This window comes from Homo sapiens, chromosome 5 (assembly GCF_000001405.40).
Source record: "Homo sapiens chromosome 5, GRCh38.p14 Primary Assembly".
NCBI lineage: Eukaryota > Metazoa > Chordata > Mammalia > Primates > Hominidae > Homo > Homo sapiens.
In genome coordinates this window covers 144329987-144343394 of record NC_000005.10, presented here as the reverse complement: position 1 = coordinate 144343394, position 13408 = coordinate 144329987, and the positions used below count along the sequence as shown (strand labels likewise).

The 13408-nt window shown below is 40.1% G+C and overlaps 1 protein-coding gene across 4 annotated transcripts in view, besides 1 other annotated feature; it reads right to left on the bottom strand.

Moving 5' to 3' along the window:
- KCTD16 (potassium channel tetramerization domain containing 16) overlaps positions 1 to 13408 on the bottom strand; it is a 314814-nt gene that overhangs the window by 142292 nt on the left and 159114 nt on the right. The gene's annotated exons all lie outside the window — the stretch shown is intronic.
- Positions 9553 to 9812: an enhancer, noted in NCBI's record as "active region_23356". NCBI's record gives its function as "activates an Ori minimal core promoter by ATAC-STARR-seq in GM12878 lymphoblastoid cells {active_cell/tissue: GM12878}" and the evidence as "EXISTENCE:reporter gene assay evidence [ECO:0000049][PMID:35858748]".

The window sequence follows — 13408 nt, the reverse complement described above, 5'->3', positions numbered from 1 at the left end:
TACCATCAGAGAATACTACAAACACCTCTATGCAAATAAACTAGAAAATCTAGAAGAAATGGATAAATTCCTCGACACATACACCCTCCCAAGACTAAACCAGGAAGAAGTTGAATCTCTGAATAGACCAATAACAGGCTCTGAAATTGTGGCAATAATCAATAGCTTACCAACCAAAAAGAGTCCAGGACCACATGGATTCACAGCCGAATTCTACCAGAGGTACAAGGAGGAACTGGTATCATTCCTTCTGAAACTATTCCAATCAATAGAAAAAGAGGGAATCCTCCCTAACTCATTTTATGAGGCCAACATCATCCTGATACCAAAGCCTGGCAGAGACACAACCAAAAAGAGAATTTTAGACCAATATCCTTGATGAACATTGATGCAAAAATCCTCAATAAAATACTAGCAAACCAAATCCGGCAGTACATCAAAAAGCTCATCCACCATGATCAAGTGGGCTTCATCCCTGGGATGCAAGGCTGGTTCAATATATGCAAATCAATAAATGTAATCCAGCATATAAAGAGAACCAAAGACAAAAACCACATGATTATCTCAATAGATGCAGAAAAGACCTTCGACAAAATTCAACAGCCCTTCATGCTAAAAACTCTCAATAAACTAGGTATTGATGGGACATATCTCAAACTAATAAGAGCTATTTATGACAAACCCACAGCCAATATCGTACTGAATGGGCAAAAACTGGAAACATTCCCTTTGAAAACTGGCACAAGACAGGGATGCCCTCTCTCACCACTCCGATTCAACATAGTGTTGGAAGTTCTGGCCAGGGCAATCAGGCAGGAGAAGGAAATAAAGGGTATTCAGTTAGGAAAAGAGGAAGTCAAATTGTCCCTGTGTGCAGATGATGACATGATTGTATATCTAGAAAACCCCATTGTCTCAGCCCAAAATCTCCTTAAGCTGATAAGCAACTTCAGCAAAGTCTCAGGATACAAAATCAATGTACAAAAATCACAAGCGTTCTTATACACCAATAACAGACAAACAGAGAGCCAAATCATGAATGAACTCCCATTCACAACTGCTTCAAAGAGAATAAAATTCCTAGGAATCCAACTTACAAGGGACGTGAAGGACCTCTTCAAGGAGAACTACAAACCACTGTTCAATGAAATAAAACAGGATACAAACAAATGGAAGAACATTCCATGCTCATGGGTAGGAAGAATCAATATCGTGAAAATGGCCATACTGCCCAAGGTAATTTATAGATTCAATGCCATCCCCATCAAGCTACCAATGACTTTCTTCACAGAATTGGAAAAAACTACTTTAAAGTTCATATGGAACCAAAAAAGAGCCCGCATTGCTAACTAAACTTTTTAACATAATAAAACAGTCCCATATTTCAGATATTCGCAGGAGATCTCTGAAAATAAGGTGAAAGCAATAATGTACTACTGAAAAACTTCCATGAAATGGCTTACATACAAGACTGAAACTAACTCACTGATCCTACTGTTACACAAATGTGCACTATTTATTAATGAGTGACAAAGAACGAGAAAGTAACATTTCTATTTCCTATGGGGCTAAGCATATTCAATTTGTTCATTTAATAAATAAATGAGCATCTGATACTGGAAATTGAAAGTGCCTTGATCCCCCAAATCCAAACTCTATGTCCTGCTATGGCTGATAAAATATGAGCCAGGGTTGCTGAGTTCCTCTCTTGTAATGCATTGAATCAACCAGTTGGGAATCGGTGAACTTGTGCAAATGGTTCTACTTTTTAAAATCAAAAACCAACAATGAATACTCTTTTGAAGGTGGTTTTTGTTTATAATAAAATTAATCCACTTTGTCTAACATAGAAACCTGTTCATTGCAGATGTTCAGATCTTTACTGAGAAAATACTGTGAATCTGAGGGTTTTTGCTAAGCCTTCAGATTCACAATAGAGAGGGCTCCATGGGATAAGCTGAGGTCAGGCATGAGGAGAACACCTTTTTAGATCCATTGCCTAATCCCCATGAGAAATCCCCCGCATATATATGTCTGATTTGGAAAACACTGTTTCTCCCCAAGTGAGCAAGGTGGGATGGCATCCTGTTATCCTTCTACCACCCCATCCAGAAGGAAAAAAGGGTGCTGCCTGCTCCTGTCAGTCATTCACAGAAGCCGTTTAGTCATGTTGTTAGAGAAATTTGGTGTCTTAGGCAGCTCGGGCTGCTGTAACAAAATACCATATATTGCATGGCTAAACAACAAAAATTATAACTCAGTTTTGGAAGGCTGGGAAGTCCAAGATCAAAGAGCCAAAGTGCCATCAGATTCAGTTTTTTTGTTTTTTGTTTTTTTGTTTGTTTTTTTGAGACAGAGTTTTGCTCTTGTTGCCCAGGCTGGAGTGCAATGCCACAATCTCGGCTCACTGCAACCTCTACCTCCTGGGTTCAAGCGATTCTCCTGCCTCACCTAGTAGCTGGGATTACAGGCGCCCACCACCGTGCCTGGCTAATTTTTGTATGTTTAGTAGAGACGGGGTTTCACCATGTTGGTCAGGCTGGTCTCGAACTCTTGACCTCAGGTGATCCATCTGCCTCGGCCTCCTAAAGGGCTGGGATTACAGGCATGAGCCACCGCACCTGGTGCAGATTCAGTTCTTAATGAGGGCTCTCTTCCTGGTTTGCAGACAGCCACCTTTTCGCTGTGTCCTCACAGGGTGGAGAGAGAAGTTCCGGTGTCTTTTCTAATAAGGACACTAATCCCACCCTTATAACATTGTCTAAACCTAATTATCCCCCAAAGACCCTACCTCCTAATACTATCATATTAGGGGTTAAGACTTCAACATATGAAATTCAGGGAGACACAAATGCCTCTTTCATAATACTTGGACACACTCAGACACTGCTTTATCACCAGAACTGTCTCATCCAGCTCCCATGGTTTTCCAAAAGCTCCCCCTCTCCAACTCTGCCTCTCAGATCATGATTTTTTTTTTTTTTTTTTTTTTTGAGATGGAGTCTCGCTCTGTCACCCAGGCTGGAGTGCAGTGACGCACTCTAGGCTCACTGCAAGCTACGCCTCCCGGGTTCACGCCATTCTCCTGCCTCAGCCTCTCGAATAGCTGGGACTATAGGTACCCGTCACCATGCCCAGCTAATTTTTTGTATTTTTAGTAGAGACGGGGTTTCACTGTGGTCTCCATCTCCTGACCTCGTGATCCACCCATCTCGGCCTCCCAAAGTGCTGGGATTACAGGCGTGAGCCACCACGCCTGGCCTCAGATCATGATTTTTAAGCATGACCACAGGATCTTACCTGCCCTCTGCTTCAAAATATCTGATCACTGGATAGAATGGAATGGATGAGATTTACCCACAGGCCCCCTCCCTTTCCCCCTTATTTAATCTTTGAGGTTGCCCTTCTTGTCCATAGTTGATTCTGTTTGGAGTTTTAAAGGGCAGCAGTGACAAGCACTATATTACTCACTATTGAGAGAGGGGCAAGTATTGAGCAGCAGCCTCCAGGATATGTCCATTGCAGCCTGGTCCTGGATCACAAATGTGTTTTAATTAAATGTATTTGCCTTTCTGCGTATTTTATTGTAGCCCTAGCACTTAGCAAAGTATTTCATATAGACATTCATACAACAAATATTTGTGGAAGGAAAGAAAAGAGGAAGGAGGGAAAGAAGGAGAGGAAGGAAAGCAAGCATGAGTGCATCTCAACTCTTGGAATTTCAGCTAAAATATCCTGTATTTATTCAATTCCTTGAGGCACTAGACCACACCTAACAAGATCATGTATTTATTGAGTACATTTCTAGTAACATGTCAGGCATTATGGAGAAAGAATAACATAGAGAAGTAAAATCACTTAGCAGAGCACTTGGCACACTGTGTGTTCCATAAACGTTGAGACATTGAGTTCATAAATGAAAGCTTGGGCAAGGGCAAGAGTAGAAGGGCAGAGAGAGAAAGAAAGAAAATGCAATGCATTTGAGGACATGGGGAAAAAAGGAGAGAGGGCAGTGATCGAATAATAGTTGTACAAAGAGATAGTAAAGCTAGTGTCAGAGACTGCTGAGAGTAGTGATTTTGGAGACAGGCAATCCTGTGTTCAAATGTAGCTTCGGCACTTTCTAGCTATCGAATGTCTCTAAGCTTCAGTTTGCTTATTTGTAAAATGAGAATAAAATTGGCACTTGCTTTTAGGGCTATTGAGAAGATTGAATGAGGTAATGCACAGAATACACTAGGCAGAGTGCCTGGTACAGAGTAAGGGCTTGATAAATAATAGGTGATGATGCTGCTGATCAAACGTGATGCTAATCTAGGTAGTTCAAACAGTTGTCCTGTGTGTGGATGTGTCAAAGCATTTCTCTGGAACAATTCTTGCCTCACGTTCCAGGGGATGGATAAATTAAGACAGTCTCTCTTCAGTGCATTATAAAGCACAATGCTAACATCTTTTTTGTTAACTACTAGCAAATTTTTCTGTGCTTTCCAAATGCCCCTTTTCTCTGGTTCCAAAGGATCTCATAAAAGTGAGGAGAATCTGAATAACTGCAATGAATCTCTGAGAGTAACCCCTTGGCCTTTCACCATTATAGCTCAGCCTTGCCTTTTCAGCTCATTTTCCATCACTCCTATCCCTCAGCCATCCACTTCACTCCAAGTACATGATCTTCATCCCATGTTCTCCATATACCTGCATATGCCCATAAAATAGGTTCATGTCATGCTATACCAACTGAGGTCTCTCACTAACCCTTAAATTTGTCACTTAAGGATCTGTTCAAACTCATCTGTTGTCTGAACCCCCAGGGTTTTTTCTTTCATCAGGCAGTAAAAGAAATTCCACTTCTCAAAGAATAATCACCCCTGCCCTCCTTTTAATACAATTATTATAGCATATTGAATGTCTACTATGATCCATATGCACTACATACATATGTCAACTTATTTAACTCTCCTATCAAGCCAGTAGGGCCTGGATGAGGCTCAGAAAGATCGAAAAACTTGACCAAAGCTGCACAACCAGCCCAAGGTGGAGACAGGATCTGATCCCAGGTCAACCAGTCTCCAAAATCCATGTTCTTTCCACTGTGGCATGCTATTATTTAATATGCATATTTATATTTTATCCCCCAAATCAATGCCTCTGGAGGACTCATTTTTTAAGAACATTTTTTCCCAGGACGCAATAATTTATCATAGTCACTTGATGTAGAAGATCTTGATCAATGTTTATTGAAGCATCAAAGAGAACCATACCAGCAGGGCTAGGTCTGGGAAACGATGGGGAAGAAAGTCCGAGCTTACTTTCTCATCTCTTCTCCACTGATTAAAAACTCAGTTCCATTGCCCTCTGACGTTATACTCCTAAATAAAAATAGCTATGTTTTTATTGTTTTTCCTTTTGGCCAGCATGGTTTTAAGCACTTTGCTTATATCAATTTTTTAAATATTCACAACAATCCTAAAGGGTGGATATTATCATTTTCCCCATTTCATATGTCACCCAAAGCTACACAGTAAGTGGCAAGCCAAGATCTGGACCTAGACACTCTGGCTCTAAAGGTCTTGTTCTCACCCACTCTTCTCCCTTCACTATGTATAGATAGATCAGGGCTACTCTCTCTAAAAAAATGGTAATGGAACAGAGAGCTGAATGATGATGAGAAGTAGGTCTTGTCGAGAGTTGAGTAAAGAACATTTCACAAAAGCAAATTATTACAGTCTGCAAATGTCTAATATTGCATATAAGTGGTTAATATCTACACCATTTAAAGAATTCATTAAAGTTATGAGAAAAACCCATAGACACCAAATATATAAGACTATAAACAATGTACATCACATAAAAAGTAAATGTAACACTTACATCACATTAAGTAAATTCTTGGAAAAATGTTTATGCTTCCTACCAATCATAAAATTTCAAATTAAGAAAATTTTCTATAATACTTTACGCCCAACAGATTAGTAGAACAAACAACATGCATTAAAATCATAGCCTACTACTGAGAAAATTCTTGTGAAATTGGCACGTTCACACCCCTAATGATATAAAAAGTTTGTACCACCTATTTTAGAAAACAACATGATAATTATTATTAGGAACTATAAAATTTTTCATATCCTTTTCCCCCAATAATTCCACTCTACGATGTGTATCCTGGAGAAATCATTCTACAGCACGCAACGCAAAAATGCCCATTATAGCCTTAGTAATAATCATAAATATTTAAAATTAAAATGCCTTAAGTTAGACCATAAATAAGATGAATATGATACACCAACCCATTGCAATATTATGTAGTAGTTACTAGGACAGTAATTATAAGGACAAGGAAGAAACTTGGGAAAATATTTATGAACAGTATGTTAATATAGCAAAATATAACATTATATATATTAAATATATATATATATGACTACAATTATGTATGAATATGAACACTGACACCCATCCACACAGACTTCTCTCTTAGATTTTATATAATTTTGAATTACCGGGATCTCAGCAACCTTCCAGGTAGTTTCATGAATATGAGAGGCATGTAGGAGTATGTGTGGGTTTGTGTGTGGGTATGATGTGTGTATCAGAGTAAGCAGGTCAGGTTTCAAAGGGAAGGAGGGAGCATATGGATGGAAGTAGATTCATAGGATGTGAATAATCACTTTCTTTCTTGGAACTCTGGTAGAACAATTTGTCTTTTTCATCCAGAAATCTTAGAAACAGGCTTACCAAGTGCCTACTGTTGAAACCTGGCAACTTCTTTCATTTAAAAACGTGGGAAACACAGAGGATTTTAAAATAATATCCTGGATGTAAGCAGAGCATAGCATTGATGATCACAGGCCATTCATCAGGCATGGGACCAGGGGCAAAGAGGTTTCTGAAGTATTTTCAAGCTGATAGAAGTAAAAGATGACATTAGAGGGAACCCACAGTGGCAGCTTGCTTACTAATTCACAGCATGCACATGCAGATGCTCTTCCTGGCTTCCGAATTGCCTCATTTGTGCACAGCCCGTTCCAGTCTTGGATTAGCAGACTTTGTGCACAATTGTGGACTGGAGTTCAGGCTTGCACACACCTTTATGCTTTGTTCATTGCTTGTGCTGCTATTACAGGCACCAGGGAGTAAGGTCAGAAGCCGTGTCTGGAACTTGCCCTATTGGCATCCCAGCTCCTTCAGCATTGGCAAAGGGGAAAATGAATTAGAACTTCTCAGGAACAGATTTTGTAGCAGCTCTGCTTTTCCAAGGGCCAATGCACAAGACAGCCTGTCTGCCTGGCTTCTGTCAGTGGGAAAGTCATGTGGTCTCACAGGAAGGCCTTTTCAGCAAGATGGATGGCACTGGACATGGGGCATCTCCATTATGTGCCTCTGCTAGTCCTATCAAAAAGCACAAGAAAACCCTGCCCAACAGGGGTACTGAAGCATTTTACCATTTTAACTTTTACTTAATGAGGGAATTTCAGGTTCTTAAAATGAGCAGCTCCCATTTTCTAAGCTACAACTCCATTTTCTCAGCATGACTCTTCATGATCTGGCCCCTAATCACCTCCTGATGCTCTTTTCCCACCTGCCTTCACCCTCCAACTCTATCTCGCACCTGCCATGGACTGTTCCTCTCCCAGAGCTTTGCTCACACTACATAGCCTTTTCTGTTTCTGTTTCAATATTGGTTTTTCTTTCTGAGAGGTTCTGCTTCATTTTTTATGATTCAGCTCAATTGTCACCTCCTGTGGAGCCTTCCCTGGACTCAGCACCTGTCCCAGACCCCACACCCAAACCAAAGTTCTATTAGAGCCCTTTATCATGCTGTGTCATTGTAGTGTGTTTGTGTGTGTGTGTGTCTTTCACTAGAACCTGAGCTCTTTTAGGAAAAGGACAGCTTTACTCATTTTTCTACCCCTTGCATCTTTCTCATAGTAGACTTCCAATATATGGTCATTGAACAAACAATTAGAAGCCATTATCACACGTATAGTTCTCCAGTCTCCACTCAGTCCCACCTGTCAGCTGTCCTCCACCCATCCTGGCTATAAGCTATTTATTTTCTTTGGGTGTGGGTCACATTTTTCTAAAGAGTCTTTCTCTGTCTTCTTCTTATACCCTCACTTTTAGCAGTATGCTGTACACAGTAGGTGCTTAATAAAGATCATTAATAGTAACATGTCTTCTAGTTAAGGTATGATGCTATGTCATGGGAGTTAATTCTGGGTGAATGCTTTGGAGAGTGCTGAAGGCTCACTCACAATTGCTAAAGATTGACACCATGTACAGTGCAAGAAAAATAATTAAGAAAACAGGATCTGGGTGGGGCCTAGTGGCTCATTTCTGTAATCCCAGAACTTTGGAAGGTCAAGGCAGGGGAATCGTTTGAGCTCAGGAGTTAGAGACTGGCCTGGGCAACATAGTGAGACCAGATCTCTACAAAAAATAAAAAAAAAATTAGCCAGGTGTGGTAGTACATGCCGGTAGTCCCAGTGACTAGGGAAGCTGAGGTGGGAGGATCGCTTAAGCCTATGAGTTTGAAGGTGCAGTGAGCCAAGACTGCACCATCACACTCCAACCCGGGTGACAGAGTGAGACCCTGTCTAAAAACAAAACAAACAAAAAAGAAAAAGGCAAGGCAAGGCTCTGGAATGTATCTGCCAGGTTCCTTTCACTGCACTCATTTCATTACCATGTGAAATTCGGTAAGTTAGCTGACCTTTCTAAAACTCAGTTTTCTGTCAAACAAGAAAAATATTAATTTCCATAGCATTTCCATGAAGATTAATTTAAATCGTGGAGACAAAGTGCATAACATCATGCCTGGCACATAGCACACACTCAGCAATTGAAAGCTATTATTACTGTGAATGCCACCAGAAGGGCAACTTTTTGTCATAAGAATACTATAAAAATGGTTCACTGGTTTAGAATTGTATACCTTTAGATTAGTATCATCATCCATTTGTGCCATTTAATCCTTAAGTCTATGAGATAGGTATTCTTCATAAAGAATAATTACCAGTCTTTCTCAGAAAAGGAAGCAGAAGTCAAGTGATTGGTCAAGATCACCCACCTTGAGTCCCAAAACCAAGAACTAATATATCTACCCCACCAGGACACCATCCTTTATGTGTCCAAGAATTTGAACTTCCAAGACACATCAGAGGAAGCTCCAAAGTGATTCTATCATGTCAACTCTGAGTGGAGATTTATAAATTCAGTCCCATGTTGATGAACCCTTCATAACCACACTTCAAAGAACACAGAGTCTGTTGTATAAGCTGGTTCCCTTCAACCTCTGAGGGATTTCTTTTTATGTGAGTAGCTTTCTAAGGCAAATATACTCTGGTTTCAAGCTGAGTTGTATGTTTAGTAAAGTGATAAAAAGTATACAGCTTGGGAAACTTTAAGTCAAGAGCAAATTGTTGGATAACGGTAGGCCAAAATATTATACTCCCTGAATTTTAGAGTAGGTTCCAGACACAAAGAAAAGATGGAGGGAAAAGAGGGAGCCAGATGTGGCAAACTGATGGCACTGATGGACCTAGTTCTTCATCTGTCCTGATTCTGGAACCAGCCATGTGACATGCTTTGGGCACTGGGACATTAGCAAGCATGATGTAAGCAGCGGCATGAAAATCACTTACATCTTGAGGCTTGCTTTCACTCTTGCTCCTCTGCCTTTGCCATGGACATGCCCAGACAAGAATGCTGGGGAATGAGACACATGAAACAGAGCTGAGTTGTCCCTCATTATCCCAGCCTGAACAATATTAGCCCAGCCAACATCTGGCTGACCCCCAAATACACAGAAAGACACACACACAGAGCTGCAGGACCACCTGCAGCTGACCACAAACAAATGAACTGAGTGAGCCCAGTCAACACCAGAATAACTACCTAGCCAAGCTACACACTCTCAGGCTACATAAAGGCTTATTATTTTTAGTCACTGAGATTCTGGGTGGATTCTTTTCAGCATTATTGTGGAAATACATAACTGATATACAAGGGGCCAAATGAGAAGAGCAGAAGAACAGCCACATTGTCAAAAACATATATTATTTTTCAAGAGCTTTCCACTGGAGTGGAAGCTCCTTCTGCTCAATTGTTCAGTGATTACAATGCTATAGAATAGATTACTAAAATGTTCTTATATTAATAATCTCACCCTGGAAGTCCTAAAGCTCATAATGCAATTACTTTTTTAAAAGTCATTGCTTAGCAAAAAAGCACAAGTAGCATTATAACATATTTACTGATGGGTTTTAAAATAGTAAGATGATATGGTTTGGCTGTGTCCCCACTCAAATCTCATCTCGAATTGTAGCTCCCATAATTCCCACGAGTTGTGGGAAGGCCAGGGTGAGAGGTAACTGAATCATGGTGGCATGTCTTTCCCATGCTGTTTTCATGACAGTGAATAAGTCTCACGAAATCTGATGGTTCCCCTGCACACATATTCTTGCCTGCTACCATGCAAAACATGTCTTTCTCCTCCTTTGCCTTCCGCCATGATTATGAGGCCTTCCCAGCTATGTGGAACTGTGAGTCCATTAAACCTTTTGTTCTTTATAAATTACCCAGTCTCGGGTATGTCTTTATTAGCAGCGTGAGAACTAATACATAAGATCAAATGGAGATCTGGCTGTTTCTTTGAAGGATGCCAAGTGTTAGTATTTTTAGTGCCCCTCCTCAACCCCTAACTCCTTATGGGCATATTGGTTCTCTAGATAAAACTTCTTCAATTTCTTACTGAACTATTTGAAGTTCTAGGAGATATGCAGAGAACAGAAGTTCAGGGTCTTGTCAGCCAGTGTGTAGACTTTAAATTAATCCTTCTATTTCCAGTAAAGTATCTCAGCATTGCCCTCTGTTGGGCATGTTGTCCCTGGTTCAGTTATCTGAAGACAACCCTCTCTGCTACTGTCAGGTAGAGAGAGTGGGTTGTTTGGCTGCACAAGGTGGGTGATTTATCAGGTAGCTAACTGCTCCTTATGCAGGCTTTCAGAGAATGCCTGTGTTTACAGCCCTGTTCCCTTCCAATGTATCCAGCAACCCAGAATCTCCAGGCCCCCTGCGCCTTGCCTGAGTCATAGACTCAGCCTCATTTTGCTGTCTTTCCCTTCTATTTAGGTTCAGCTTTCTCTTCTTTATCAAGTCAATCATTACTTGTGCATCTACTTTCTAACTTCCAAAATAATGTTGTTGTTTCTCATCCAATGTCATCTTGCAGACCATTCTCTGCTTTTATATTTTTATGTCATTTTACTCCTCTTTTGTCATTTTAGAGGTGTTTGATAGGAATCAGAGGGAGAAAATAAAACCTGTTGCTTTAATCTGTTGTCTTTTGCCAGCAGTCCCTATCCTTTACTTTTTAACATGCATGGGCTTTTTCTAAGAATTTCTGCCATCTTTCTATAATATCAATGGTCAAGAGGGTCACAATTATGAATGCTCTGAGTTTAAGAATTATTATTTAACCCTAAATAGCATAAAGGAGCTTTCTTACTTACTTCCTGGGTAGAACTCAGGGGGCAGTTCCAGTTTAGAAATAAGAGTTGAATTCAAGGGCACCAAAGCACTTTTATAGATAATCACATTCAGTGCATCCCTCTTCATTTTCCAGTAAGCTCTGAGACTTTCCCACTGCTCCTTAAGGATAGAGAGTCTTCCTAGGATATTGTTAGAATTCTCTCAGACTCTTAATAACATGATACTACCATTGGTGAGTGACAGTAACATTGTACCTTCAATTAAGAGAGCTCAGAGTCTTCAAATCTATAGGGAAATGGACAGACTCCCATTCCCCATCCATAACTATGCTTCACATCTAGGGTAACACATTGTTTGACAGCTGTCAACTCTCACTTATCTGCTCCTGGGTAATTATATACTCCCTGCTTTTCAACCTATGCTACTATCTCTTGTGTGAATTAGATGATGACTTGAAGTCTTTTTGCATATTTAAGTAGCAATCCTCACATTGTTGAGAGCTAATAAAACCTAAGACCAATGCATTGGAATTCAGAGCTCAGGATACTTCTATGTGTTACTGAAATGGCCAGTCCTGTAATGGTGCTGTGCCTTGAGGTCTGATTATCATACAAATTTGAGGAGTTCTTTTTAGCTTAAAGCAAAAGACCATGTCCACAAGACCAGGCCCACTCCATAGTCAGTGCCTCAAGTAACTGATGCAGTACCAGGAACTCTACAAGGACTCACTAAACTTTTGGCGACCAAGGAATACTTTCTATACTGCCTAAAGCAGAAACTCTTAGATGTAACTCCATGCTTTTGCTCTATTTTCCTTTCTTCCTGGAATGGCTTTTCTCTTTCTTTGCTTAGAAAAAGTTTATGGCTATTTTAAGAACCAAGTTCAGTTCCATCTACTAAGTCCAGTCCTCTCTAATTTTCCTCACTTTACATTCCTACAGCACTTCATTTATTCCGTTGTTATTAAAGTCCCTCCAGTTTATTACTAAGTCATCTGTTTCTTTGCCTGTCTATCCCAGACCATCAGCAGCAGAGCATGGGAAGAAAAAGATACGGAAAGATTAAAAACTGTGTGCTTCGGGATCACACCAGATCTTGAATGCAGTTCAAGTCTGCCATTTAACAGCCTACCTTGGATGTGAGCTTCAATTACCTTATCTGGAAAATAGGGATAATAAGATAACCTATACCATAAGAGGCTATTGGTAATCAATGTTGTAATATGTCTTAAGTTATTAACACATTGCTTGACATATCAGAAGCTAGCATCAGTAAATATTATCTAGTATTATTATTATTGTATTTAAGAAGTAGGAATTAAATGTTACTCATTTGTATATCTATTATAGCACAATACCTGGTACAAAGAGAATGCTTAATAAATTTTAAACAAATAAATGAATGAATGGGTAATACTGTAAGAGTCAGATTATTTTTATAATCCCAGTAAATAAAGCCTTAGATGTCTTTTTTTTTTTTTTTTTTTTTTTGATGGAGTTTCGCTCTTGTTGCCCAGGCTGGAGTGCAGTGGTATGTTCTCGGCTCACCGCAACCTCTGCCTCCCAGGTTGAAGCAATTCTCCTGTATCACTCTCCCCAGTAGCTGGGACTACAGGAGTGCACCAACTCGCGTGGCTAATTTTTGTATTTTTAGTAGAGACGGGGTTTCACCATATTGGTCGGGCTGGTCTCAAACTCCTAACCTCAGGTGATCCACCCACCTTGGCCTCCCAAAGTGCTGGGATTACAGGCGTGAGCCACCACTCCTGGCCTAGATGTCTTCTTTTAAGTGATTGAACTATCCATGTGGAATGTACATATTATTTCAATAAGCTGAATATCTTACAAATTGTGACTTTATTTTGCACTCTAGATACTCAGCCTACTTTAATGGACTTGGTGAATTTAGAATTGGA